The sequence below is a fragment of the Homo sapiens genome, chromosome 7, assembly GCF_000001405.40.
Source record: "Homo sapiens chromosome 7, GRCh38.p14 Primary Assembly".
In the NCBI taxonomy this organism is placed as follows: Eukaryota; Metazoa; Chordata; class Mammalia; order Primates; family Hominidae; genus Homo; species Homo sapiens.
Genome location: NC_000007.14, coordinates 149068512 through 149094983, shown reverse-complemented (window position 1 = coordinate 149094983; position 26472 = coordinate 149068512). Strand labels below are relative to the sequence as shown.

Below are 26472 nucleotides of genomic sequence, written 5' to 3'. Positions count from 1 at the left end.
CACTACAACCTCTGCCTCCCGGGTTCAAGTGATTCTCCTACCTCAGCCTCACAAGCAGCTGGGACTACGGGCAGGCGTTATCACGCCTAGCTAATTTTTGTATTTTTAGTAGAGACAGGTTTTTGTCATGATGGCCAGGCTGGTCTGAAACTCCTGATCTCAAGTGATGCGCCCACCTCGGCCTCCCAAAGTGCTGGGATTACAGGAATGAGCCACTGTGCCTGGCCTGCATTTATTTTTCTTTTTGGAGACAGGGGTCTCGCTATATTGCCCAGGCTGGCCATGAACTCTTGGGCTTAAGGGATCCTCCCACCTCAGGATCCCTTGAGGGGACCTACAGGTGAGAGCCACTACAGCTGGTGCTCCTTAATAACATTGATACAGATAACAATGTGGATGAATCTCAAAGGTATAGTGAGTTGAAGTATGTTGTAAACTTTTATAAGTCTCAAAAGGTTACATACTGTATAATTCCGTTTATATGACATTCTTGAAAGGTAAAACTATAGGGACAGAAATAAATCAGCCCTTGCTAGGGGTTACAGATATAGGAAGGGAGGTGGATCAAAAGACATTACAAGATGGCTGGGCACAGTGGCTCTCACCTATAATCCCAGCACTTTGGGAGGCCCAGGCAGAGGATCACTTGAGGCCAGGATTTTGAGACCAGACTGGGAAACATAGCAAGACCCTGTCTCTACACTTTTTTTTCTTTTTTTTGAGACAGAGTCTTGCTCGGTTGCCCAGGCTGGAGTGCAATGGCGTGATCTTGGCTCAATGCAACCTCCGCCTCCTGGGTTCAAGTGATTCTCCCACCTCAGCCTTCCCAGTAGCTGGGATTACAGGCACCTGCCATTATGCCTGGCTAGTTTTGTTTTATTTTTTGAGATGGAGTCTCGCTCTGTTGCTCAGGCCAGAGTGCAGTGGCGTGATCTCGGCTCACTGCAACCTCCACCTCCAGGGTTCAAGTGATTCTTCTGCCCCAGCCTCCCGAGTAGCTAGGATTACAGGCGCGTGCCACCACGCCCGGCTAATTTTTGTATTTTTAGTAGAGACGGGGTTTCACCATGTTGGCCAGGCTGGTCTAGAACTCCTGACTTCAGGTGATCCGCCTGCCTCAGCCTCCCAAAATGCTGGGATTACAGGCGTAAGCCACCGCGCCGGACCAACAATTTTTTAAAAAACAAAACAAAAAAGCTATTTAAGGGCATTTTAGAGGGTGATGAAACTTCCAATAGCCTTGTAACCGGGCCCCTTGAGACTTCAGCATTCTGCAGTTCTTAAGGACTGAATAAATGAAAATTCTGATCAGGCCCTTGCTTGTTTGCATGTTTTAACCACTTGCTTTTTGCCCAATATTCCTTGTTCTCACAATATAATTACATACTGCTGATGTACTGTTTGATTGTCAAGGAGAAGGAGATAACTTCAGGGTCATGAAAAATTGTTGCAGGGGGAATGCCTTCAGGGTCGTTGTGGCCAGCCCCTGACGCCCAGAAGCCTGATTGCTCAAGGTGTTATCAGAGACTGAAGAAACACAGACTTTCCCCCTTGGTTCCCTGAAACTCCCCCTCCCTTACTCTCTAGCCCCATAAAAACTCCCTGCTTCCTTTTGTTAAGACAGATTTTAGAGATTTGCTCTGCTGCCTTCTCGCTTTGGCCAAATCAATGAAACCTTTTTGCATCTCCAAGCACCGGTGTCTCAGTGTTTGGCCTCAGCTGCCCATGAGGTACACAAGCCTGATTTTGGGGTTTTACAACAGCCTGATTATGATGTCAGTTACATGTTTATGCATATGTTAAAATTTGGAGTTCTATGTAGTAGTATAGAAGTTATACTTCTATATAACTTACAGTTATAAAAAAAGTTAATAGTTAAAAGTTCATGGCAGGGTGCAGTGGCTCACACCTGTAATCCCAGCACTTTGGGAGGCCGAGGTGGGCGGATCACGAGGTTAGGAGATGGAGACCATCCTGACTAACACGGTGAAATCCCGTCTCTACTAAAAATACGAAAAATTAGCGGGGCAGGCATGGTGGCATGCGCCTGTAATCTCAGCTACTCGCGAGGGTGAAGCAGGTTTTTTTGTTTTTTGGTTTTTTTTTTTTGAGACAGAGTCTCGCTCTGTCGCCCAGGCTGGAGTGCAGTGGTGCGATCTCAGCTTACTGCAAGCTCCGCCTCCCGGGTTCACACCATTCTCCTGCCTCAGCCTCTAGAGTAGCTGGAACTACAGGCGCCCGCCACCTCGCCCGGCTAATTTTTTGTATTTTTAGTAGAGACGGGGTTTCACCGTGTTAGCCAGGATGGTCTCGATCTCCTGACCTCGTGATCCGCCCGCCTCGGCCTCCCAAAGTGCTGGGATTACAGGCCTGAGCCACCGCGCCCGGCCAGCAGGAGAATCACTTGAACCCAGAGGCTGCAATGAGCTGAGATCGTGCCACTGCACTCCAACCTGGGCAACAAGGGCAAGACTTCGTCTAAAAAAAAAAAAAAAAAGTTCATAGCAGTATACATTAAAAAATTGTACTGTATACACTTCGGGAGGCCGAGGCGGGTGGATCACCTGAGGTTGGGAGTTCGAGACCAGCCTGACCAACATGGCGAAACCCCGTCTCTACTAAAATACAAAAAATTAGCCGGGCATGGTGGCGCGTGCCTGTAGTCCCAGCTACTCGGGAGGCTGCGGCAGGAGAATAGCTTGAACCCGGGAGGCGGAGGTTGCAGTGAGCCGACATCCCACCACTGCACTCCAGCCTGGCGACAGAGCAAGACTCTGTCTCAAAAAAAAAAAAAAAAAAAAAAAAAAAAAAGCCAGGCGCGGTGGCTCACGCCTGTAATCCCAACACTTGGGGAGGCCGAGGCAGGTAGATCACAAGGTCAGGAGTTTGAGGCCAGCCTGACCAACATGGTGAAACCTCGTCTCTACTAAAAATACAAAAATTAGCCGGGCGTGGTGGCAAATGCCTGTAATCCCAGCTACTCGGGAGGCTGAGGCAGGAGAATTGCTTGAATCCAGGAGACAGAGGTTGCAGTGAGCCGAGATTGCGCCACAGCACTCCAGCCTGGGTGACAAGAGTGAGACTTTGTCTCCAAAAAAAAAAAATTGTACTGTATAACAGTTGTAAAAATAAAAAACGTTAAACAGTAAGGTGCATGTACATTTCACGATTCTGTGGCAAACACAGATGCGTATATGCTCCTCAGCCTACGCAGGGACTATTTTATTTCTTATGCACATCCTCTCCAAACTACACACTTTTCCTTTGCTACTTCAGCCTGACACCTAAGACATGACTAAGACAGAATGCGAGGTTGATTTTCTGGAGACAATCGCCACCCCCTTCCTCGCCCTCTCTCCTTTCTGTCTCTTCCTGGTTTCCCCACCTCTCCCCTGTTCTTGCGTTCTCGTGTTTCTCACGCCCTGTGTCATGGCCTCCTCCGTCTTCTCCTCCTACTCTGTCTCTGTCTCCTGCCGGGGCCCGGGGTGCCCGACCGCAGCCTTGGGCCACCCTGAGTCCCTGCAGGCGGCCCTGAGGCCGGGGTGGCTTCCGCATGGGGTCTCTGCCCAAGGCCGTTCTCTGCTAAGGAAGGAGCGTGGCCGCCCGGGGAGCCCGGAGGGCTCTAGACCCACGGCGACCGGACCTGGTGGGCGGACCCCGCCTCCGCGTCCCCGGCGGGACAAGCATGGGGCCCCCACGGCCTCCGCGCCCCCGGCGGGACGGATGCCCCGGGCCACCGCGGGCAGCGCGCGCCCCCCACCCACTTTCCGGCCTCGCTGGATTCCCGGGACCCCCTCACAGACGAAGCCTGTCTCGGGGGCGGCTTTGGGAGGAACCGCACCGGAGGTTCCCCTCTCGCTGCCTCTCAGTCTGGGTTTCTGTGGAGCGCGTCTCCCTGTCCCTGTCCCTGATCTCTCCCTGTCCCTGTCCCTGATCTCTCCATGTCCTGCCCCTCCGTTTCCCCTCCGGCCAGCTCCTCAGCTTGTCTCTGACCGCTTCCCTCCCCAGATCCCGGGAATCCGAGGGTCCCTCAAAGACCGGCGTGCTGCGGCCTGCTCTGAGGGCGCCCGGGCCCCTGGGTCCCTCCTCTGAGGACCGACGCTCAGGCAGCGCCGCTTCTTCCTCCCGCAGGAGGCGCTGTAGGACTGAGCGGCAGCCGCGGCCGGGCGCCGGGTCCCAGCATGCACCGCGCCCGGCCGGCGCTGCGTTTGGGGGCCACCCGGGCTGTGCGTGGGAGTCGGGTTGGGGCGGAGCGGAGGGGAGTCAGTGCGCAGCAGGGCAGGTTCCTGCGGAGCCGCCGGAGACGGTCGGGTTTGCCAGGGCCGGGCGGGACCGCGGGGACCATGGCGGAGCCGCCTCGGGTAAGCGGGCTAGCCTGTTTGGACGCCCGGTTTCGGGGTCGTGGTGGGTCCTCGGGTTCCGGGCTCGCCCGTGTCCTGGGGTCCCCGTGAGTGCGCGCGGTGCACGGGTAGGACGGAGTCTGCAGGCTGCTTCTGCTGGGGATGTGGATTCCGGGCCCTGCGGTGAGCAGGTGGCCTCCGCTCCCGCGGCTTGTCCGTGGCCAAACCCCTGGACAAAGCCGAGCGTGGACCGAGGCCGACCTAGGAGCGGGGCGGAGCCTGGGCGAGGATGCCGGGCGGACGGGGAGCGGACGGTGGAAAGGATAGAAAGGTTTGGGGCCAGAGGTGGATGTTACAGGTCAACCAGTTTTACATCATAGTCACCGAAATCAGAACAACTGTTCCAAAAAGTTTAAGATTCCGAATGGTTGAAATGGTGTTTGGCGGGGGCTTCAATGTCAGAATTTATTGTCTAGCGTGATTTGGGTTGAGTGTAAGATGATACGTTGGGAAGAGTAGAAGAGGATACAAAAAATTAAGTTAGTGGTTTCTTAAAATCGAGGTTTAGAGGGTATTTTTATCTTGTAAACTTTAATGTTGAGGATTTTTGCTGATTATTAAATGAATTAGGCCGGGCGCGGTGGCTCACGCCTGTAATCCCAGCACTTTGGGAGGCCGAGGCGGGTGGATCACGTGAGGTCGGGAGTTCGAGACCAGCCTGGCCAACATGGTGAAACCCCAACTCTACTAAAAATACAAAAAATTAGCCTGGCATGATGGCGGGCGCCTGTAATCCCAGCTACTCGGGAGGCTCAGGCAGGAGAATTGTTTGAACCCGGGAGACGGAGGTTGCAGTGAGCCGAGACTGCACCATTGCACTCCAGCCTGGGCAACAAGAGCGAAACTCCGTCTCCAAAAATATATACATACCTATATATATGGGGAAAGGATATAAACAGCCAAATCACAGACCTGAAAATAAATTATTAATGAGTAAAAGAATGGATTTTAAAACTTGTGACATTCAGGCCAGGCGCCGTGGTTTACGCCTGTAATCCCAGCACTTTGAGAGGCCGAGGTGGGCAGATCACTTGACGTCAGGAGTTCAAGACCAGCCTGGCCAACATGGCGAAAAACTGTCTCTACTAAAAAATACGAAAATTAGCTGAGTGTGGTGGCGGACGCCTGTAATCCCAGCTCCTCGGGAGGCTGAGGTAGGGAGAATTGCTTGAACTCGGGAGGTGGAGGTTGCAGCGAACTGAGATGGCGCCACTGCACTCCAGCCTGGGCGACAGAGCGAGACTCTATCTCAAAAACAAACAAACTTGTGACATTCAGACGGTGGAACACTATACAAAATTAAAATAAATTAGCTACATATATGATCAACAGGGCCGGGCGTGGTGGCTCACGCCTCTAATCCCAGCACTTTGGGAGGCCAAGGCGGGCGGATCACGAGATCAGGAGATCGAGACCATCCTAGCTAACACGGTGAAACCCCGTCTCTACTAAAAATACAAAAACAAAAATTAGCTGGGCGTGTGGGCGGGAGCCTGTAGTCCCAGCTGCTCGGGAGGCTGAGGCGGGAGAACCCGGGAGGCGGAGCTTGCAGCGAGCCGAGATCGCGCCACTGCACTCCAGCCTGGGCGACAGAGCAAGACTCTGTCTCCAAAAAAAAAAAAAAAAGAAACTCAACAGGGCCAGATCCCAAAATGTTGAGGGAAGAATACAAGTATAATAAAGTATTTACGTATAAAAGACACAAAGTAATACTGAATATTTACAGATACATATATGTATTAAAATGAACTGGAAAGTTCCCATATTATTTATAATGTTTGCCTTTACAAAGGAAGGAGAATGTGACAATATCAGAACATGATTGAAGAGAGGAACCACAAGAACTTGAGTTTCACCGGTCACATTCTATTTCATTAAAAGGAACTCTGAAGAAAAATGTTAAACTTGTTAAGTCAGTGGTGAATACTAGGATGCTTATAGTTTTCTCTGTAACTCTCTGGATTTTTAAACTTCTAAAAATTAAAAAAGTTTTAAAAGTAAGGAATTTTAATCAGAGAAGAGGAGAGAATGAGTATCTTTAACACAAGTATAAACATACGTTCAGTTCTGCAATAATACAGCATATGCATTTCTAAAAATCATAGTGCTATGCAAAATTGTGCAATAAAAACCACAGAGCTTATTGGGAGAAATGTTACACATACAATACTCAAACTTTAATCAGTGATGTGTTGAAAGAACCTAAAAGCAGTTTTATGCACTTTAATGAGTAATAAATTATCTCAATTGCCTTAAAAACTGCCTGAAATAAGCCTGGGCAGGCCAGGCGTGGTGGCTCACACCTGTAATCCCAGCACTTTGGGAGGTCCAGGTGGGCAGATCACCTGAGGTCAGGAATTCAAGACCAGCCTGGCCAACATGGTGAAATCTCATCTCTACTAAAAATAAAAAAATTAGCTGGACGTGGTGGCGGGCACCTGTAATCCCAGATACTCGAGAGGCTGAGGCAGGAGAATCACTTGAACCTCGGAGGCGGAGGTTGCAGTGAGCTGAGATCGTGTCAATGCATTCCAGCCTGGGTGACAGAGCAAGACTCGGTCTCGAAAGAAAGACAAAAAAAAAAAAAAAAGCCTGGGCAACATGGTGAGACCCCTCTCTACAGAAAATTAGCCAGGTGTGGTGGCATATCCCTGTGGTCCTAGCTACTCGGGAGGCTAAGGCAACAGAATCACTTGAGCCCAGGAGATCAAAGCTATGGTAAGCTGTGTTGGCACCACTGCACTCTGGCCTGGGCAACAGAGACCCCCGTTTCAAAAAAAAAAAAAACCTAAAAGAACTACCTGAAATGTGCTTGTGGAAGTGGGCATAGCAAGGGTTGCAGTTTGTGAGCTATTGTGAAGTGGTGAAAGGAAGGTTATCTGAAATGAGATGGAAAGTTGTGACCCCGGAGGTGAATGGGTAGGGCTCATAACACAGGGTAATCTGATGTTTGAAGTGTGTTGCATGTGTGCATTTTGCGTATGTCTATGCAGCCCAGTTCTGTTTGTTCACATAGTACAAAGTTTCTCACCCTTGCCACTACTAACATCCTGTGCTGGATAATTTTCTGTTTTGCAGGCTGTCCTGCGCATCGTAGGATGTTTATCACTATTCTTGGCTGCTACGCACTAGATGCCCATAGGCCACCCCGCTTCCCCACATTATAACAATAAAAAATGTTGCCAGGGGACAAAATTGTTCTGATTGAGAACCACTAATCTAGTGTTTCTTATAGACAGAATTGCACATAAGCAAATGCAAAATTTTGTAATATATTGTCTCCTAATAATCATGTTGGAACAAATTCACATTTCAAAACAAGGATTATAGCAGAAATGACTATATTTCCTTAAAGTTAAAATAATGAATTTCTGATTTAAGTGTTGCTATATCTGCAGTTTGGATATTTGTCCCTAAATCTCATGTCAAAATTGGATTTGCGGCTGGGCACAGTGGCTCACGCCTGTAATCCCAGCACTTTGGGAGGCTGAGGCAGGTGGATCACCTGAGGTCAGGAGTTCAAGACCAGCCTGACCAACAAGGTGAAACCCTGCCTCTACTAAAAATACAAAAATTAGCCGAGCATGTTGGCAGGCGCCTGTAGTCCCAGCTGCTTGGGAGGCCAAGACAGAATTGCTTGAACCTGGGAGGTGGAGGCTGCAGTGAGCTGAGATCGTGCCACTGCATTTCAGCCTGCCTGGGCGATGGAGCAAGACTCTATCTCAAAAAAAAAAAAAAAGGATCTGCGCTGTTGGAAGTGGGCTGTAATGGGAGGTGTTTAGGTCATGGGGGGTGGATCCCTCATGAATGTCTTGGTGCTGTCCTCTATTAGTTCCTGAGGGAGCTGGTTAAAAAGAGCCTGACATCCCCCCTTCTGTCTTGCTTCTTCTTGCCATGTGATCTGTGCACATGCCAGCTCACCTTTTGTGTGTATGTGTGTGTGTGTGTGTGTGTGTGAGACAGAGTGTCGCTCTGTCACCCACGCTGGAGTGCAATGGTGTGATACTGGCTCACTGCAATCTCTGCCTCCTGGGTTCAAGCGATTCTCCTGCCTCAGCCTCCCAAGTAGCCGGGATTACAGGCCCCTGCCACCACACCCAGCTAATTTTTGTATTTTTAGTAGGGACAGGGTTTAGCCATATTGGCAAAGCTGGTATTGAACTTCTGACCTCAGGTGATCTGCTCACCTTGGCCTCCCAAAGTGCTGGGATTACAGGTGTAAGCCACCGTGCCCAGCCCCCTTCACCTTCCATCATGAACAAAAGCCATCTGAGGCCCTCGCCAGAAGTAGATGCTGGTGATGTGCTTCTTATACAGCCTGCAGAACTGTGAACCAAATAAACCTCTTTTCTTTAAAAATTACCCCACCTTGGTGTTCCTTTACAGCAATACTAAACAGACTAAGACAAATTTAAAGGAGTCAGAGTTTTTAAAACTCAACTCTAAATTTCATAATGAATATAACAAAAAGATGGGAAGTCCTAGCCAGAGCAGTGTGGCAAGAGAAAGAAATAAAAGTCATCCAAATAGAAATAGAGGAAGTCAAACTATCCCTGTTTGCAGACTGTATGATTCTATATGTAGAAAACCCCATAGGGTGCCCAAACGCTCCTTGATCTGATAAAACAACTTCAGCAAAGTCTGAGAATACAAAAATCAGTGTACAAAAATCAGTAGCATTCCTATACACCAACAACATCCAAGCTAAAAGCCAAATCAAGAATACAGTCCCATTCACATCTAGTCAAAAATGCCGAGGAATACAGCTAACCAAGGAGGTTAAAGATCTTTACAACAAGAATTACAAAACACTACTCAAAGAAACCAGAGATAACACAAAGGGAAAAACATTTAATGCTCATGGATAGGAAGAATCAATATTGTTAAAATGGCCATACTGCCCAAAGCAGTTTCCAGATTCATTGCTATTCCTATCAAACTACCAATGACAATTAGAAAAAAACTATATTGCCAGGAGTGGTGGCTCACGCCTGTAATCCCAACACTTCAGGAGGCCAAGGCGGGCAGATCATGAGGCCAGGAGTTCGAGACCAGCCTGGCCAATATGGTGAAACCCCATACTCAAGCAGTTCTCCCACCTCAGCCTCTCAGGTAGCTAGGACTACAGGCATGTGCCATCATGCCCTGCTAATTTTTGTGCATTTTGTTACTGTTTTGGTAGAGATGGGGTTTAGCTATGTGGCCCAGACTGTTCTCAAACTCCTGGGCTCCCAACTTACTGGGATTACAGGTATGAGCCAGTACCTGGCTGAAAAAACTATTTTAAAATTCATATGTAACCAAAAAAGAGCCCAAATAGCCAAGGCAGTCCTAGGCAAAATGAACAAAGCTGGAGACATCACACTACCTGACTTCAAACTATACAAGGCTACAGTAACCAAAACAGCATGGTACTGGTAAGAAAACAGACATATAGACCAATGGAACAGAATAGAGAGCCCAGAAATAACGCCACATACCTACAATCATCTGATCTTCTACAAAGTCAACAAAAACAAGCAGTGGGAAAAGGACTCCCTATTTAATAAATGGTGCTGGGATAACTGGCTAGCCATATGCAAAAGACCGACACTGCACCCCTTCCTTACACCATATACAAAAATCAACTCAACATGGATTAAAGACTTAAATGTAAAACCTAAAATTATAAAAACCCTGGAAGATAACCTAGGAAGTAGCATTCTGGACATAGGCCCTGGCAAAGATTTCGTGATGAAGACTCCAAAAGCAACTGCAACAAAAACAAAAATTGACACATGGGACCTAATTAAACTAAGGAGCTTCTATGCAGCAAAAGAAGCTATCAGCAGAGTAAACAGACACCCTACAGAATGGGATATTTGCAAACTATGCAACTGACAAAGGTCTAATATCCAGAAGCTATGGGGAACTTAAATTTACAAGCAAAAAACAACTGCATTAAAAAATGGGCAAAGGACATGAACAGACACTTCTCAAAAGAAGACATACATATACATGGCCAACAAGCTTATGAAGAAATGCTCAGCATCACTAATCATTTGAGAAATGCAAATCAAAACCGTATCAGTCAGAATGGCTATTAAAAAGTTAAAAACAAGGTTACAGAGAAAAGAGAACACATATACACTGCTGGTGGGAATGTAAATTAGTTCAGCCGTTGTGGAAAGCAGTTTGGTGATTTCTCAAAGAACTCAAAGCAAAATTAACTTTTTTTTTTTTTTTTTTTTTTGGGATGCAGTTTTGCTCTGTTGTCCAGGCTGGTGCCATCTCAGCTCACTGGAACCTCTGCCTCCTGGGTTCAAGCAATTCTCCTGCTTTAGCCTCCTGAGTAGCTGGGATTACAAGCGCGTGCCACCACGCCCAGCTAATTTTTTGTATTTTTAGTAGAGATGGGGTTTCTCCATGTTGGCCAGGCTGGTCTAGAACTCCTGACCTCAGGTGATCTGCCCGCCTCGGCCTCCCAAAGTGCTGGTATTACAGGCGTGAGCCACCGCGCCCAGCCAGAATTACCATTTGACCCTACAATCCCATTATTGAATATATACCCAAAGGAATATAAATTGTTCTGCATAAAGACACATGTTTGCATATGTTCATTGCAGCACTATTCACAATAGCAAAGATGTGGAATCAACCTAAATGCCCATCAATGGCAGACTGGATAAAGAAAATGTACATATGCACTATGGAATACTATGCAGCCATAAAGAAAATCATATCCTTTGCAGAAAGATGGATGGAGCTGGAGGCCATTGTCTTAAGTGAGATAACACAGGAGTAGAAAACAAAGTGCCGTTCTCACTTATAAGGGCGAGCTAAACACTGAGTATATATGGATACGAAGCAGGGAATGAATAACAGACATTGGGGCCTACTTGAAGGTGGAGGCTGGGAGGAGAATGAGGACTGAAAAATTCCTTATCGGGTACTATGCTTATTACCTGGGTGATGAAACAGTCTGCACACCAACCCCCACAACATGCAATTTACCTGTATAGCAAACTTGCACATGTTTGCCTGAAACTAACATTTAAAATAAACAAATAAATAAATAAAAATAAACTTTGGCCGGGCGCGGTGGATCACGCCTGTAATCCTAGCACTGGGAGGCCGAGGCGGGTGGATCACCTGAGGTCAGAAGTTCGAGACCAGCCTGGCTAATGTGCCAAAACCCTGTCTCTACTAAAGATACAAAAATTAGCTAGGGGTGGTGGCCGGCGCCTATAATCCCAGCTACTTGGGAGGCTGAGGTAGGAGAGCTGCTTGAACCCTGGTGGGTGGAGGTTGCAGTGAGCTGAGATCGTGCCACTTTACTCCAACCTGGGCAAAACAGCAAAACTCCGTCTCAAAAAAAAAGAAAAAAAAATTTAAAGATGACTAGGCTGGCTGGGTGCGGTGGCTCGCGCCTGTAATCCCAGCACTTTGGGAGGCCCAGCCAGGCAGATTGCCTGAGGTAGGAGTTCAAGACCAGCCTGGCCAACATGGTGAAACCCCATCTCTACTAAAAATACAAAAAAATTAGCCCAGTGTGGTGGCGTGTGCCTGTAATCCCAGCTACTCAGGAGGCTGAGGCAGGGGAATCGCTTGAACCAGGGTGGTGGAGGTTGCAGTGAGCCAAGATCACGCCACTGCACTCCAGCCTGGGCAACAGAGTGAGACTCCGTCTCAAAATGAATAAATAAAAATAAAAGATGAAGAGGCTGAGCATGGTGGTTCATGTCTGTAGCCCCAGCACTTTGGGAGGCCAAGGTGGGTGGATGACTTGAGGTCAGGAGTTGGAGACCAGCCTGACCAACATGGTGAAACCCCGTCTCTACAAAAAATGCAAAAAAATTAGCCAGGTGTGGTGGTGCACACATGTAGTCCCAGCTACTCAGGAGGCTGAGGCAGGAGAATTGCTTGCATCTGGGAAGTGGAGGATGCAGTGAGCTAAGATCACGCCACTGCACTCCAGCCTGGCAACAGAGCGAGATGCCGTCTCAAAAAAAAAAAAAATTTAAGTTGGAACAAGATAAACTTTAATACCCATAAAAATTGAGGACATATGGCAATAACAATGGCAGTTCAATAAAAGGTGGGATGTATGCTTATGTAATTAGAGTGTTTTAAATTAACAAATATATAATTTACATACTCCTAGTTGTGAGCCTCAGGAAGTATCCATTTATCTAAGTCAACTGTAATAAACACAAATATTAAACAATACTGAACATTTGCATACACTGCATTTTTTCTAATGCAGTTTTTAGAAAAGCAGTAAAATTCAAAACCAGTTGCTAGTAACTCTTAGTCTTCTGCTTCTGGGGAGGCCTCAGAAGACTTACAATCACACGGTCTTCTCATGGCTGGAGCAGGAGAGACAGCGAAGGGGCAAGTGCTACACACTTTTAAACAACCAGATCTTGTGAAAACTCGCTATCATGAGAACAGCAAGGAGGAAGTCCGCCCCCATGATTCAGTTGCCTCCCACCAGGCCCCTCCCCCAACCCTGGGGATTACAATTCAACAGATTTGGGTGGGGACACAGAGCCAAACCATGTCAAGCGAATGCCTAGGCATTTTATTGTTTTTTCCAGCCATTGTAAAAGGTACTGAGTTCTTGATTTCTCAGCTTGGTCGCTGTTGGTGTATAGCAGTGCTACTGATTTATATACATTAATTTTGTTACCTGAGACTTTGTTGAATTCATTTGTCAAATCTAGGAGTCTTTTGGAGGAGTCTTTTGGAGGAGTCTCTAGGATTTTCTAGGTGGAGGATCATATCATTGGCAAACAGAGATAGTTTTCCAATTTGGATACCCTTTATTTCTTTCTCTTGCTTGATTGCTGTGGCTAGGACTTCCAGCCTTATAATGTAAATTAAAATACTGAAATACAACTTGCCGCCCCACATTGGCAAAAAATAAGGTTTGAGAACATCTTGTGCTGGCAAAGGTGTAAAGAAACAAGAAGTCTCATGTTAATAGCAAGGGTAAATGTGCTGCATTCTTTTTGGAAGGCAATCTGATGTTATCTATTAAAACTGAAGATGTGTTTTCTCTTTGATTTAGTATTTCCCCTTTTATACTTTATCCTGAAGAAGTAAAAGCACTAATACCTAGAAAGCGCATGAGAACACTTTTTTTTTTTTTTTTTTTTTTTTTTTTGAGACCGAGTCTTGCTCTGTCGCCCAGGCTGTAGTGCGGTGGCGCGATCTCCGCTCACTGCAACCTCTGCCTCCTAGGTTCAAGCAATTCTCCTGCCTCAGCCTTTCCAGTAGCTGGAATTACAGGTGCACGCCACCACACCCGGCTAATTTTTGTATTTTTAGTAGAGGTGGGGTTTCACCACGTTGGTCAGGCTGATCTCGAACTCCTGACCTCGTGATCTGCCCGCCTCAGCCTCCCAAAGTGCTGGGATTACAGGCATGACCCACTGCGCCTGGCTGAATACTGTAATTTATAAGGGAAACAAACTATATGTCCCATCAGTGGGGTATATCTTCTACTCATGGAATATAGTGCGACTTTACCAAAAAAATGAATTTGCCTCAATATATATTATTGACCTGGAAAGAAGTCTGTGACATATTAAGTGAATGAAGTTACAAAGTGACTTGTTCCCATTTTGTAAAGAAAAAAATTCCATACTCTACATGTGTATATATACTTTGAACAAGCATAATGAAACGTGGAGCGGGGGATGTAGTGGTTAACAGCAGAACGATGTAATTGGAGTAGAGGAAGGAGTAGTTCTCCAGGAAGAAGCTGCTGAACAACCAAAAACATTTGTCCACTGCAGAAGTCTTTTAAATTAACAAGGAGAAGGAGCTGGAGTCATTTTGAAGCAACCATGAATGCATATGTCTTATGTCTACAATTTCAGCTACCTCTGACTTTTGAGGATGTTGCTATTTATTTCTCCGAGCAAGAATGGCAGGATCTAGAGGCATGGCAGAAGGAACTTTACAAGCATGTGATGAGAAGCAATTATGAGACTCTCGTCTCTCTAGGTAAGACCTGTTCACCTTTGTGGGTAGGTCATGGAACTGGATCCTGTAAGGGGTCACAGTCACTTGATGCTCCTGTTTCTCAGGTAGCAAGATTTCTCAGAAATTAACTCAGAAGGGTATTTTTACCCTGCAATCTATTGTTAATACTTTTGTCAACATTGTTAATCTTTACTCAAGGGTAGACATTGTTACATGAGAATATTTGAACAATGTAAGGTGGTCCGGGTGACTAAATATTATTTATGAGGGGCCTTTAGTCATGACTATCAGGATGCCATGATTGTCCACATAGGAGCACACCTAGCGCACATTCATGAAGTGCTCTGTATATCTTTAACCTAGGATGTCCCCACCTCACAGCTTTTACAGTGGGGTCTAAATACTTCAGAAAAGCTATTTTGGAAGGGTGTACAATGAAGTGTTTGTTTTTTTGAGACATAGTCTCACTCTGTCGCCCAGGCTGGAGTCTTGGCTGACTGTAACCTCTGCCTTCCGGGTTCAAGCAGTTCTCCTGCCTCAGCCTACCGAGTAACTGGGACTACAGGTGCGTGCTGCCATGCCCGGCTAATTTTTGTATTTTTAGTAGAGACAGGGTTTCACCATGTTGGACAGGATGGTCTTAATCTCCTGACCTCGTGATCCACCCACCTCGGCCTCCCAAAGTGCTGGATTACAGGCGTGAGCCACTACGCCTGGCCTGAAGTGTTTTAAGAGTAGCTGTCTGCTGGGCGCGGTGGCTCACGCCTGTAATCCCAGGACTTTGGGAGGCCGAGGCAGGTGGATCACGAGGTCAAGAGATCAAGAACATCCTGGCCAACATGGTGAAACCCCGTCTCTACTAAAAATACAAAAATTAGCTGGGCGTGGTAGCGGGCGCCTGTAGTCCCAGCTACTCAGGAGACTGAGGCAGGAGAATCACTTGAACCTGGGAGGCGGGGGTTGCAGTGAGCTGAGATCACGCCACTGCACTCCAGCCTGGCAACAGAGTGAGACTCCGTTCCAAAAAGGAAAAAAAAAAAAAAAAAAAGAGTAGCTGTCTCTGCCTGGGTATGGTATTGGATGTCCTTTTTGCTTATTTGGTTTTTATATTTCATTTATCAAATATCATTTTTAAAAAATCAGTCTGTTCAGAGAAGCATCAAGTGAAAGATCGAAGTCTCCTGTTTCATTCTTTTTTTTTTTGAGACGGAGTCTGGCTCCGTCGCCCAGGCTGGAGTGCAGCGGCGGGATCTCAGCTCACTGCAAGCTCCGCCTTACGGGTTCACGTCATTCTCCTGCCTCAGCCTCCCGAGTAGCTGGGACTACAGGCGCCCACCACTGCACCCGGCTAATTTTTTTGTATTTTTAGTAGAGACAGGGTTTCACCGTGTTAGCCAGGATGGTCTCGATTTCCTGACCTCGTGATCCGCCCTCCTCAGCCTCCCGAAGTGCTGGGATTACAGGCGTGAGCCACCACGCCCAGCCCGTTTCATTCTTATCTCCACATTCAGTTAACCACGTGAGGGCAACCACTTTTAACCATTTTTGTTTTAGTTTTTAAAGTGGCTTCCTCCAATCTAAATACGCTTCCAATAACTTGATTTATCGAGTTTAGACAGAATTAATTACTATGAAAAATTAGGCATTAGTTCACTTATACAATCCCTCTTCTATCATCTTCTCCCCAGTTTTTGATAGTTTTTGTGCCTCTGTTGGTCAGCTTTATAATTTAAAATAATATGTTTAAGATTCTAGATTGTATTCCATCATTTTCATCTGACTCATTCAGTATATAAAGATAATTAGTTCTCTAGTATTTCTCTTCATCTCTTCTGCCAGTTGACAACAGCCATACCACTTCCTTTATATTGCAAAGTTTCTAATATTTATATTCTGTTCTGTTACCATAGTTAACTTTTTTTTTTTTGAGACGGAGTTTCACTCTTGTTGCCCAGGCTGGAGTGCAATGGCACCATGTCGGCTCACCGCAGCCTCCGCCTCCTGGGTTCAAGCAATTCTCCTGCCTCAGCCTCCTGAGTAGCTGAGATTACAGGCATGCGCCACCACGCCCTGCTAATTTTATATTTTTAGTAGAGACGGGGTTTCTCCATGTTGGTCAGGCTGGTCTCAAACTCCCGACCTCAGGTGATTCACCCACCTTGGTCTCCCAAAGTGCTGGGATTACAGGCATGAGCCACCGTGCCTGGCCTACCATAGTTAACTTTTGCAGGCTGTATGTATGGATTGTTTCTAAAACATATAACTGAAAACATTACATTATTTTCATTGTTACTGAAGAATCAGTTACAGTAAATGAATCTATAGAGGCAAAAATATAATTCTATGCCATTAACCCTGTGCCAGCCTAATAAGAATGTTCCAAGCATCAAGATCAAATGGATTCTCTTTTTTTCATTCTTATCAGTTGTTCAAAATTATGCTACATTTTGGCCAGGTGTGGTGGCTCACGCCTGTAATCCCAGCACTTTTGGAGGCTGAGGTGGGTGGATCACTTGAGGTCAGAAGTTTGACACCAGCCTGGCCGACATGGTGAAACCCCATCTCTACTAAAAATACAAAAATTAGCTGGGTGTGGTTGTGCATGCCTGTAATCCCAGCTACTTGGGAGGCTGAGGGAGGAGAATCACTTGAACCCAGGAGGCGGAGGCTACAGTGAGCCGAGATCACGCCATTGCACTCCAACCTGGGCAACAGTGAGACTTCATCTCAAAAAAAAAAAAAAAGACAAAATTATGCTACATTTTAATTTGTTTCGCTGTTGGGCCACAACTGTTTCTCATGCTTTCATCATATCCTTGTGATTATCCATCATCGTCATCATGTTGCCCAGGCTGGTCTCGAATTCTTGAGGTCAAGTGATCCACCTGCCTTGGCCTCCCCAAGTTCTGGGATTACAGTCGTGAGCCACTGTGGCCGGCTAGGAGAACACCCATCTTCTTTTATTTATTTATTTATTTATTTTTGAGAAGGAGTCTCCCTCTGTCGCCCAGGCTGGAGTGCTGTGGCGCAATCTCAGCTCACTGCAAGCTCCGCCTCCCGGGTTCACACCATTCTCCTGCCTCAGCCTCCCGAGTAGCTGGGACTACAGGCGCCCGCCACCACGCCTGGCTAATTGTTTTGTATTTTTAGTAGAGACGGGGTTTCACCGTGTTTGCCAGGATGGTCTCGATCTGCTGACCTCATGATCCACCCGCCTTGGCCTCCCAAAGTGCTGGGATTACAGGCGTGAGTCACCACGCCTGGCCACCCATCTTCTTAATCTAATAGTCAGTTACATGGATCTTTCTGCCTTCTGTCAATTCTCTCCCCAAATGAATCTATAGATTCAAAGCAAGTCCAGTCAGAATCCCAATAGAGCTTTCTGCGGAATTTGATAAGCTGATCCTAAAGAACATGGGAGAACCAAGACAAGAATAATGAAGACAGTCTTATGGAACAAGATGGAACGTGACTGATTGTCTTATCAGATAGCAAGACTTATTATGTGGTACTATGTTAGAGATAGTAAAACATCTGATAGCATCGTGTGTTGTCAAGATGTGAAGCAAAGTGAACATTCCTACTCTATTGTCAATCAGCATAGCCACTTTGGAGAGCAATTTGGTAACATACAGTAAAGTTGAAGACATGCTTATCCTGTGATACAGCAATTCACTTCAAGAACTGTCAATGCTTATGTGTGTATTCATAGAGGCATGCCAGGGAGCAGAAGAAAAAGACAGACTGTGATATATTCATATAATCAAGACTATCAAACAAATGAAGCCAAGTGTTCCAAAATGGAGAAATTTTCAAAATATAATTTGAGGAGAGAAGAGCAAGTTGCAGTACAATGTGGTATGGTCTATGTAGTTTTTTTTTTTTTTTTTTTCAAGATGGAGTCTCTCTCTCTTGCCCAGGCTGGAGTGCAGTGGCGCGATCTCGGCTCACCACAACCTCCACCTCCCAGGTTCAAGCAAGTCTCCTGCCTTAGCCTCCCGAGTAGCTGGGACTATAGGCACACACCACCACACCCAGCTAACTTTTGTATTAGATGAGCTTTCACCATATTGGCCAGGCTGGTCTCGAACTCCTGACCTCGTCATCCTCCCGCCTCGGCCTCCCAAAGTGCTGGGATTACAGGCGTGAGCCACTGCGCCCGGCCTGGTCTGTGTAAAGTTTAAAACCAGCAATATAGGCCGGGCACGGTGGCTCATGCCTGTAATCCCAGCACTTTGGGAGGCCGAGGCAGCCGGATCACCTGAGGTCGGGAGATCGAGACCAGCCTGACCAACATGGAGAAACCCTGTCTCTACTAAAAATACAAAAATTAGCCAGGTATGGTGGCGCATGCCTGTAATCCCAGCTACTCGGGAGACTGAGGCAGGAGAATCGCTTAAACCTGGGAGGCGGAGGCTGCGGTGAGCTGAGATCGCGCCATTGTACTCCAGCCTGGGCAACAAGAGTGAAACTTTGTCAAAAAAAACAAAACAAAAACCCAGCAACATTTTATTTATACATATATATTTTAAAATAAGAACATGCATAGGAATAATGTACACCAGATTCAGGGTAGTGCTTATGTCTGGAGAGGGATATACAGGGGCTTAAACTGTGTAATGTCTCATATCTTCAAAAAACCTGAAGTAGACTGGGCATGGTGGCTCATCCCTATAATCCCAGCACTTTCGGAGGCTGAGGTAGGAGGATATCTTGGGCTGAGAAGTTTGAGACCAGCCTGGACAAACTAGGGAGACCCTCTCTCTACAAAAAATTTAAAAATTAGCTGAGCATGGTGGCTCCCGCCTGTAGTCCCAGCTGTCAGGAGGCTGAGGTGGGAGGATTACTTGAGCCCAGGAGGTTGAGGCTGCAATGAGCTATGATTGCACCACTGCACTTCAGCCTGGGAGACACAGTGAGACTCTATCAAAAAAAAAAAAAAAAAAAAAAAAAAAACCTGAAGTGTGTCAGCACAGTAGGATTTGACAAAGTTAGATGGCATCCAGGTTTTTGTATATTTTTCTCCTTCTCCATGTGCCAGAAATATTTCTAATAAGTTAAACCACTGGCCAGGTGCGGTGGCTCATGCCTGTAATCGCAGCACTTTGAGACTCCAGGGTGGGGTAAGACTACTTGAGTCCAGGAGTTTGAGGTTAGCCTGGGCAACATAGTGAGACCCCATTTCAGAAACTAATAAAAAAAATTAGCCAGTGTGGTAGCTCTTGCCTGTAGTCCCAGCTACTCAGGAGGCTGAGGTGGGCAGATCACTGGAGCCCAGGAGGTTGAGGCTGCAGTAAGCTGTGATCATGCCACTGCATTCCAGCCTGAGAGACAGAGTGAGACCCTATCTAAAACAATAGTAATAATAACTTAAAGCATTATTTTAAAAACTCCTTTTTGACCGCATTTTTGCCATAACCAACTTGCTTTAAAATTGGACCCTATGATCTGGCTGTTAATAAATCACTATTAAGAATATTGAAGGCTGGGCGCAGTGGTTTATGCCTGTAATCCCAGCACTTTGGGAGGCCAAGGCAGGCAGACTGCTTGAGCACAGGAATTTGAAACCAGCCTGGGCAACACGGTGAAACCCGTCTCCACTAAAAATGCGAAAATTAGCTTGGCCTGGTGGTGCGTGCCTGTAGTCCCAGGCTGAGGTTGAAGAATTACCTGAGCCCAGGAAGCCGAGGCTACAGTGAGCCATGATTGCACCACTGCACTCCAGCCTTGGCAACTGGAGTGAGAACCCATCTCAAAAAATAAATAATTAATTTTAAAAATATATATATATATATAGCATTAGCCATTTTGTTTTTGGACAAAATACAGCATTGCTAAATGTGTGGGGAACATGACAAAATTAAAACAACATACCTGATCTAACATGCCCAGACAGACTAGGAGGCATTGTTAGGATGTGTAGGCGGTTTTTTCATCTTTGTGTAAACCTGTTTTTTTTTTTTTGACATGTTGTTCTCATACTTTGTCCCAGGAGTGAATGTTGAGAAATTTAGAAACTTAGTGTGCTTTAAATTCAGGAAGCCAAACTACCCTGTCTGACTTCTCTGTGCAGATGATGGACTTCCAAAACCAGAACTAATATCCTGGATTGAACACGGGGGAGAGCCCTTCAGGAAATGGAGAGAATCACAGAAATCAGGAAACATAATTTGCTCCTCTGTTGATATGCATTTTGATCCAGGTTTTGAGGAACAGCTGTTTTGGGGTGAGTATTAAGAAATCAGGGCCCCGACCTTGAGACATCATGTTCAGATTTGTTTCTCTTCTCTGATCTTGTCATCCTGTTTGGGCAAGCTGAGGTTTGAAGACTCTTATCTTCTAGATAAAGGCAGTAAAGCATAATGGTTAGGAATGTGGGTTCTAGAGTCTGTGTCTGGATCTTGCTTTTTCTTGGTGACCTTGGGCAAGTTATTGAACCTTTTGGTATTTCAATGCCTGATCTATAAAATGAAAGTACCCATGTTAACAGGATTGAATTGGTTAATATATATAGTGTTAGGCCAGGCATGGTGGCTCAGGCCTGTAATCCCAGCACTTTGGGTGGCCGAGGCGGGCAGATCACTTGAGGTCAGAAGTTCCAGACCAGCCTGGCCAACATGGTGAAACCCTTACTCTACTAAAAATACAAAAAAATTAGCCGGGCATGGTGGCAGGTGCCTGTAATCCCAGCTACTCAGGAGGCTGAGGGAGAAGAATTGCTTGAACCTGGGAGGCAGAGCTTGCAGTGAATGAGCTGAGATTATGCAACTGCACTCCAGCCTGGGCGATGGAGCAAGTCTCAGTCTCAAAAAAAAAACTATATATATATACATATATATATATATATATATATATATATATATACACACACACACACACACACACACGCACACATATACACACACACGTGTATATACATATGTATATAAATGTATACATAAATATATGTGTATATATGTATACATATATATGTGTATATATATTGAGAGACAGTTTATATAGTAAGAACTCAGTAGAAACTGGTTATCCAGTTTGTTTGGTTTTTAAGACACAGGATCTTGCTCTGTCACCCAGGCTGGAGCACAGTAGCATGATCATAGCTCACTGCAGTCTTGAACTCCTGGCTTCCAGCAGTCCTGGCCTCAAGCAGTCCTCCCACCTCAGCCTCCCAAAGTGTTGGGATTATAGGTGTGAGCCACCATGCCTGGCCCATGGTTATCCAGATCTTCATGACTAACGTGGCTTCCTTCCTAACTAGAGACTGTTGTCTACTTGAATACTTCAACCTGAGCTCCTCTCTTTCATTTCTTGTCATGAGGAGAGAGTCTGAGATTTTTGGATTCTTAAAGTACAGAATGAAAAAGTCAAACAGGAGCATCATTTCAAGAAATCTTGTCAAATAGTTTTTGTTTTTAGGTGCTTCTTTCGAAAGTGAAGGTTTTTCCCCCACAAATTACTTAACTTTCTACCATCTATTAATTATTCCAAGAAACCTTCTTGAAACATTGGCAGAAATGGGGGCAGGGAGGGAGGAATAGGCCCAAGCCTTGCTGCCAGGTCTTAGAGACAGGATGGCTCAAGGATCACGTATAACTGTGGTATTGGTCAGGGCTCCAGCTCGGGACTCCAGGTGTGTCTGTACATCAGAATGCGATACACTGGCTTTCCTGAAGTCATGAGAACAGCCAACACTTAAACAGAGTACATGCACTATGCCAGGCACCATGCTAAGCACCTCATGCACATTAGCTCATTTAATTCTCACAGTAATCTTATGTACTTTTGTTTCCATGTTTTTACAGAAGGAGCTGAAGTCAAAAGAGATTAGCTTGACAAAGGTTACACAGTGGACAGATAGGATTCAAAACTAGGCAGACTGATTCCAGAGCTTACACTCTATATTTGCGACCTATATTTTCCTTTTTTCAATATTATCCAAAGATATGTCTGTTCAGTTTAGTTTCAGCAGACTCACCAAACTCACGGCCATGAGACAGATCACACTGCATGGTTGGGTAGCTCAGTGGAAGCTGGGTTCCCAGGCCACCACAAGGCACTCTTGTGGGTCACTTGACTGTGAGAATCGCTAGTAGTGCTGCAGACAGGAATACCGACTGAATTTTTGTTTTCAATTGCAGGAAGCCAGCAGGCTATGAATTCAGGAAAAACTAAAAGCCATTTCCAATTAGATCCTGAAAGCCAGTGTTCCTTTGGATCCTTTGTTTCCTTCAGGCCTGACCAAGGCATCACCCTCGGGAGCCCACAGAGACACGACGCCAGGGCTCCTCCACCACTAGCCTGCGGCCCCAGTGAATCTACCCTAAAAGAAGGAATCCCAGGTCCCAGAAATCTGGATCTTCCTGGTTTGTGGGACGTCCCCGCCTGGGAGAGCACCCAGCACCCTTGGCCTGTCTGCGGGGAAAGCTGTTGGGAGAACAACCATTTAGTAATGCACCAGAGAGGCCACTCAAAGGACCGGACACGTAGGGCCTGGGAGAAATTCAACAAGAGGGCGGAGACGCAGATGCCGTGGAGCAGCCCTCGGGTACAGAGGCACTTCCGGTGTGGCGTGTGCGGTAAGAGCTTCCGCCGGAAGCTGTGTCTGCTGCGCCATCTGGCGGCCCACACGGGGAGGGGCCCCTTCCGGAACGCTGACGGTGAAATGTGCTTCCGACACGAGCTGACCCATCCCAGCCACCGCCTCCCGCAGCAGGGGGAGAAGCCTGCCCAGTGCACCCCATGCGGCAAGCGCTCCCTCCCAGTGGACAGCACGCAGGCTCGCCGGTGCCAGCACAGCCGGGAGGGGCCGGCCTCTTGGAGAGAAGGCCGCGGGGCCTCCAGCAGTGTGCACTCGGGACAGAAACCAGGCTCGCGCCTGCCCCAGGAGGGGAACAGCCACCAGGAAGGGGACACGGAGGCGCTGCAGCATGGCGCAGAGGGGCCCTGCTCCTGCTCGGAGTGTGGCGAGCGCTCCCCTATGAGCGCCAGGCTCGCCAGCCCCTGCAGGGCGCATACTGGAGAAAAGCCCTTCCAGTGTGCGCATTGCACCAAGCGCTTCCGCCTGCGCCGCCTGCTGCAGGTCCACCAGCACGCGCACGGTGGGGAGAGACCGTTCTCCTGCAGGAAGTGTGGCAAGGGCTTCGCCAAGCAGTGTAAACTCACGGAGCACATTCGAGTCCACAGCGGAGAGAAGCCTTTCCGGTGTGCCAAGTGTGGCAGGAACTTCCGTCAGAGGGGACAGCTGCTGCGGCACCAGCGGCTGCACACGGACGAGAAGCCCTTTCAGTGCCCAGAGTGTGGGCTGAGCTTCCGCCTGGAGAGCATGCTGAGAGCCCACCGGCTCCGGCACGGTGGGGAGAGGCCGTTCTCCTGTAGCGAGTGTGGCAGAGGCTTCACCCACCAGTGCAAGCTCCGTGAGCACCTGAGAGTGCACAGCGGGGAGAGGCCCTTCCAGTGCCTGAAGTGCGACAAGCGCTTCCGCCTGAAGGGCATCCTGAAGGCCCACCAGCACACGCACAGCAAGGAGAGGCCGTTCTCGTGCGGGGAGTGTGGCAAGGGCTTCACCAGACAATCCAAGCTCACGGAGCACTTGCGCGTGCACAGCGGGGAGAGACCCTTCCAGTGCCCAGAGTGCAACAGGAGCTTCCGCCTGAAGGGGCAGCTGCTCAGCCATCAGCGCCTGCACACGGGAGAGAGGCCCTTCCAGTGTCCGGAGTGCGACAAGCGCTATCGCGTGAAGGCCGACATGAAGGCCCACCAGCTGCTGCACAGCGGGGAGATGCCTTTCTCCTGTGAGTGCGGCAAGGGCTTTGTGAAACACTCAAAGCTCATCGAGCACATCAGAACGCACACGGGAGAGAAGCCTTTTCAGTGTCCCAAGTGTGACAAGAGTTTCCGCCTGAAGGCGCAGCTGCTCAGCCATCAGGGCCTGCACACAGGGGAGAGGCCTTTTCACTGCCCTGAGTGTGACAAGAACTTCCGGGAAAGGGGACACATGCTGAGGCACCAGCGCATCCACAGGCCCGAGAGGCCCTTTGCCTGTGGCGATTGTGGGAAGGGCTTCATTTACAAGTCTAAGCTTGCGGAGCACATCAGAGTACACACAAAATCCTGTCCTGCTCCAAATGAACTGGACATTAAGAAAAGGCTCAGCCAACTGTTTGCAATGATAGAGGCCGATTGGAGTTGAGGCAGAGTGGGACATCCAAAGCGTTGAGCAGGATTGGTATTGCCCAGGAATCCACAGCAACAGTAGCCAGACCCGCTGGTAGACGGGTTTTAGGAGCAGGTATCCTTCTTTGAGCAAGAGTGTCATGCAAGTTAGGAATATGAAGAACCACAAAGGATTTTCTCTTCAGAAGCATCACCAATTATATTTCTTTCTTTTTTTTTTTTTTTTCCAAGATGGAGTTTTGCTCTGTCACCCAGGCTGGAGTGCAGTGGCGTGATCCCAGCTATATTGGAAAAGACAGCATTATAAAACAAGGACATAATTTTATGAAAAAGGAGGCATCTGCAAACGAAAACAATTTCTACGAGGTTATATGTGATTGTTAACATTTTTAAGAAAAGGTGCACACAGAAATCCAGATAAGATGTGATTACCTTTGTGCATTTGTATAAAAATATATGTGTGTAATTATAAGGAAGTTCTGACATTTTAAAAAGTAATTGTTATAAAAGTAAATTTAGGCCAGGCACAGTGGTTCATGCCTGTAATCCCAGCACTTGGGAGGCCGTGGCAGGAGGATCACGAGCCAAGGAGTTTGAGACCAGCTTGGGCAACATGGCAAAACCCTGTCTCTACTAAAAATACAAAAATTAGCCAGGCATGGTGGTACACACCAGTAGTCCCAGCTACTCCTGAAGCTGAGGTGGGAGGATCGCCTGAGCCCAGGGAGGTCAAGGCTGCAGTGAGCAATGATGGTGCCACTGCACTCCAGTATGGATGACATAGTATGACACTGTCTCAAAAAAAAAAAAAAAAAAATTTGGGCCAGGGGTGGTGGCTCACGCCTGTAATCCCAGCACTTTGGGAGGCTGAGGCGGGTGGATCACAAGGTCAGGAGATCGAGACCATCCTGGCAAACACAGTGAAACCCTGTCTCTACTAAAAATACAAAAAAAAAAAAAAAATTAGCCGGGTGTGGTGGCAGGCACCTGTAGTCCCAGGAGGCTGAGGCAGGAGAATGGTGTGAGCCCAGGAGGCGGAGCTTGCAGTGAGCCAAGATCAAGCCACTGCACTCCAGCCTGGGTGACAGAGCGAGACTCCGTCTCAAAAAAAAAAAAAAAACAAATTTAGTATCTCCCAAAGGAAGCTTGGCAAGTCCTTTTCATTCTCTTTAGAATTTATAGAATATAGCCTGGCGTGGTGGCTCATACCTATAATCCCATTACTTTGGGAGGTCAAGGCAGGAGGATCACTTGAGGTCAGGAGTTCAAGACCAGACTGGCCAACATGGTGAAACACCATCTCTACCAAAAAGTACAAAAATTAGCCGGGCATGGTGGCATGCACCTGTAGTCTTGGCTACGCCGGAGGCTGAGGCAGGAGAATCGCTTGAACCCCAGAGGTGGAGGTTGCATTGAGCTGGGATTGCACCACTGCATTCCAACTTGGGAGACAGAGCAAGACTCCATCTCAAAAAAATTATAGAATATATAATTAATATATAAAGATACAGAATAATATATAATTATAAATTCCTTTTTTTTTTTCTTTGAGATGGAGTCTTGCTCTGTCGCCCAGGCTGGGGTGCAGTGGCATGATCTCGGCTCACCGCAAGCTCCACCTTCCGGGTTCATGCCATTCTCCTGCCTCAGGCTCCCAAGTAGCTGGGACCACAGGCGCCCGCCACCACGCCCAGCTAATTTTTTGTATTTTTAGTAGAGACAGAGTTTCACCGTGTTAGCCAGGATGGTCTCGATCTCTTGACCTCGTGATCCGCCCGCCTCAGCCTCCCAAAGTGCTGGGATTACAGGCATGAGCCACGGTGCCGGCCTTTCTTTTCTTTTTTTTTTTTTTTTTGGAGTCTCTGTCAGCCAGCCTGGAGTACAGTGCCATGATCTTAGCTCGCTGTATCCTCCACCTCCCAAGCTC

At 47.3% G+C, this 26472-nt stretch overlaps 1 protein-coding gene across 1 annotated transcript, besides 4 other annotated features; it reads left to right on the top strand.

The window, feature by feature from the left end:
• Positions 321–521: a silencer, noted in NCBI's record as "peak6836 fragment used in MPRA reporter construct". NCBI's record gives its function as "represses an SCP1 promoter by STARR-seq MPRAs in K562 erythroleukemia cells {active_cell/tissue: K562}" and the evidence as "EXISTENCE:reporter gene assay evidence [ECO:0000049][PMID:32103011]".
• Positions 3415–3904: a silencer, noted in NCBI's record as "silent region_18746". NCBI's record gives its function as "represses an Ori minimal core promoter by ATAC-STARR-seq in GM12878 lymphoblastoid cells {active_cell/tissue: GM12878}" and the evidence as "EXISTENCE:reporter gene assay evidence [ECO:0000049][PMID:35858748]".
• Positions 4025–4324: a silencer, noted in NCBI's record as "silent region_18745". NCBI's record gives its function as "represses an Ori minimal core promoter by ATAC-STARR-seq in GM12878 lymphoblastoid cells {active_cell/tissue: GM12878}" and the evidence as "EXISTENCE:reporter gene assay evidence [ECO:0000049][PMID:35858748]".
• ZNF786 (zinc finger protein 786) lies at positions 4266–25343 on the top strand. Its single transcript, NM_152411.4, has 4 exons — positions 4266–4361; positions 14267–14393; positions 20446–20598; positions 22511–25343. Exons 1-4 carry the CDS (start codon positions 4344–4346, stop codon positions 24559–24561), a joined length of 2349 nt encoding a protein of 782 aa, NP_689624.2. The 5' UTR covers positions 4266–4343; the 3' UTR covers positions 24562–25343.
• Positions 22663–23655: an enhancer, noted in NCBI's record as "H3K27ac-H3K4me1 hESC enhancer chr7:148768421-148769413 (GRCh37/hg19 assembly coordinates)". NCBI's record gives its function as "activates a minimal SCP1, AML or CMV promoter by ChIP-STARR-seq in naive H9 embryonic stem cells {active_cell/tissue: H9 hESC(naive)}" and the evidence as "EXISTENCE:reporter gene assay evidence [ECO:0000049][PMID:30033119]".
• Positions 25344–26472: the final 1129 nt, after the last annotated feature.

Bases quoted from the DNA above. Each gene is read 5' to 3' on its own strand.
- ZNF786 (NM_152411.4), top strand. The intron at 14,394-20,445 runs GTAAGACCTGTT...TTCTCTGTGCAG, and splicing joins TGAGACTCTCGTCTCTCTAG to ATGATGGACTTCCAAAACCA. The intron at 20,599-22,510 runs GTGAGTATTAAG...TTTCAATTGCAG, and splicing joins TGAGGAACAGCTGTTTTGGG to GAAGCCAGCAGGCTATGAAT.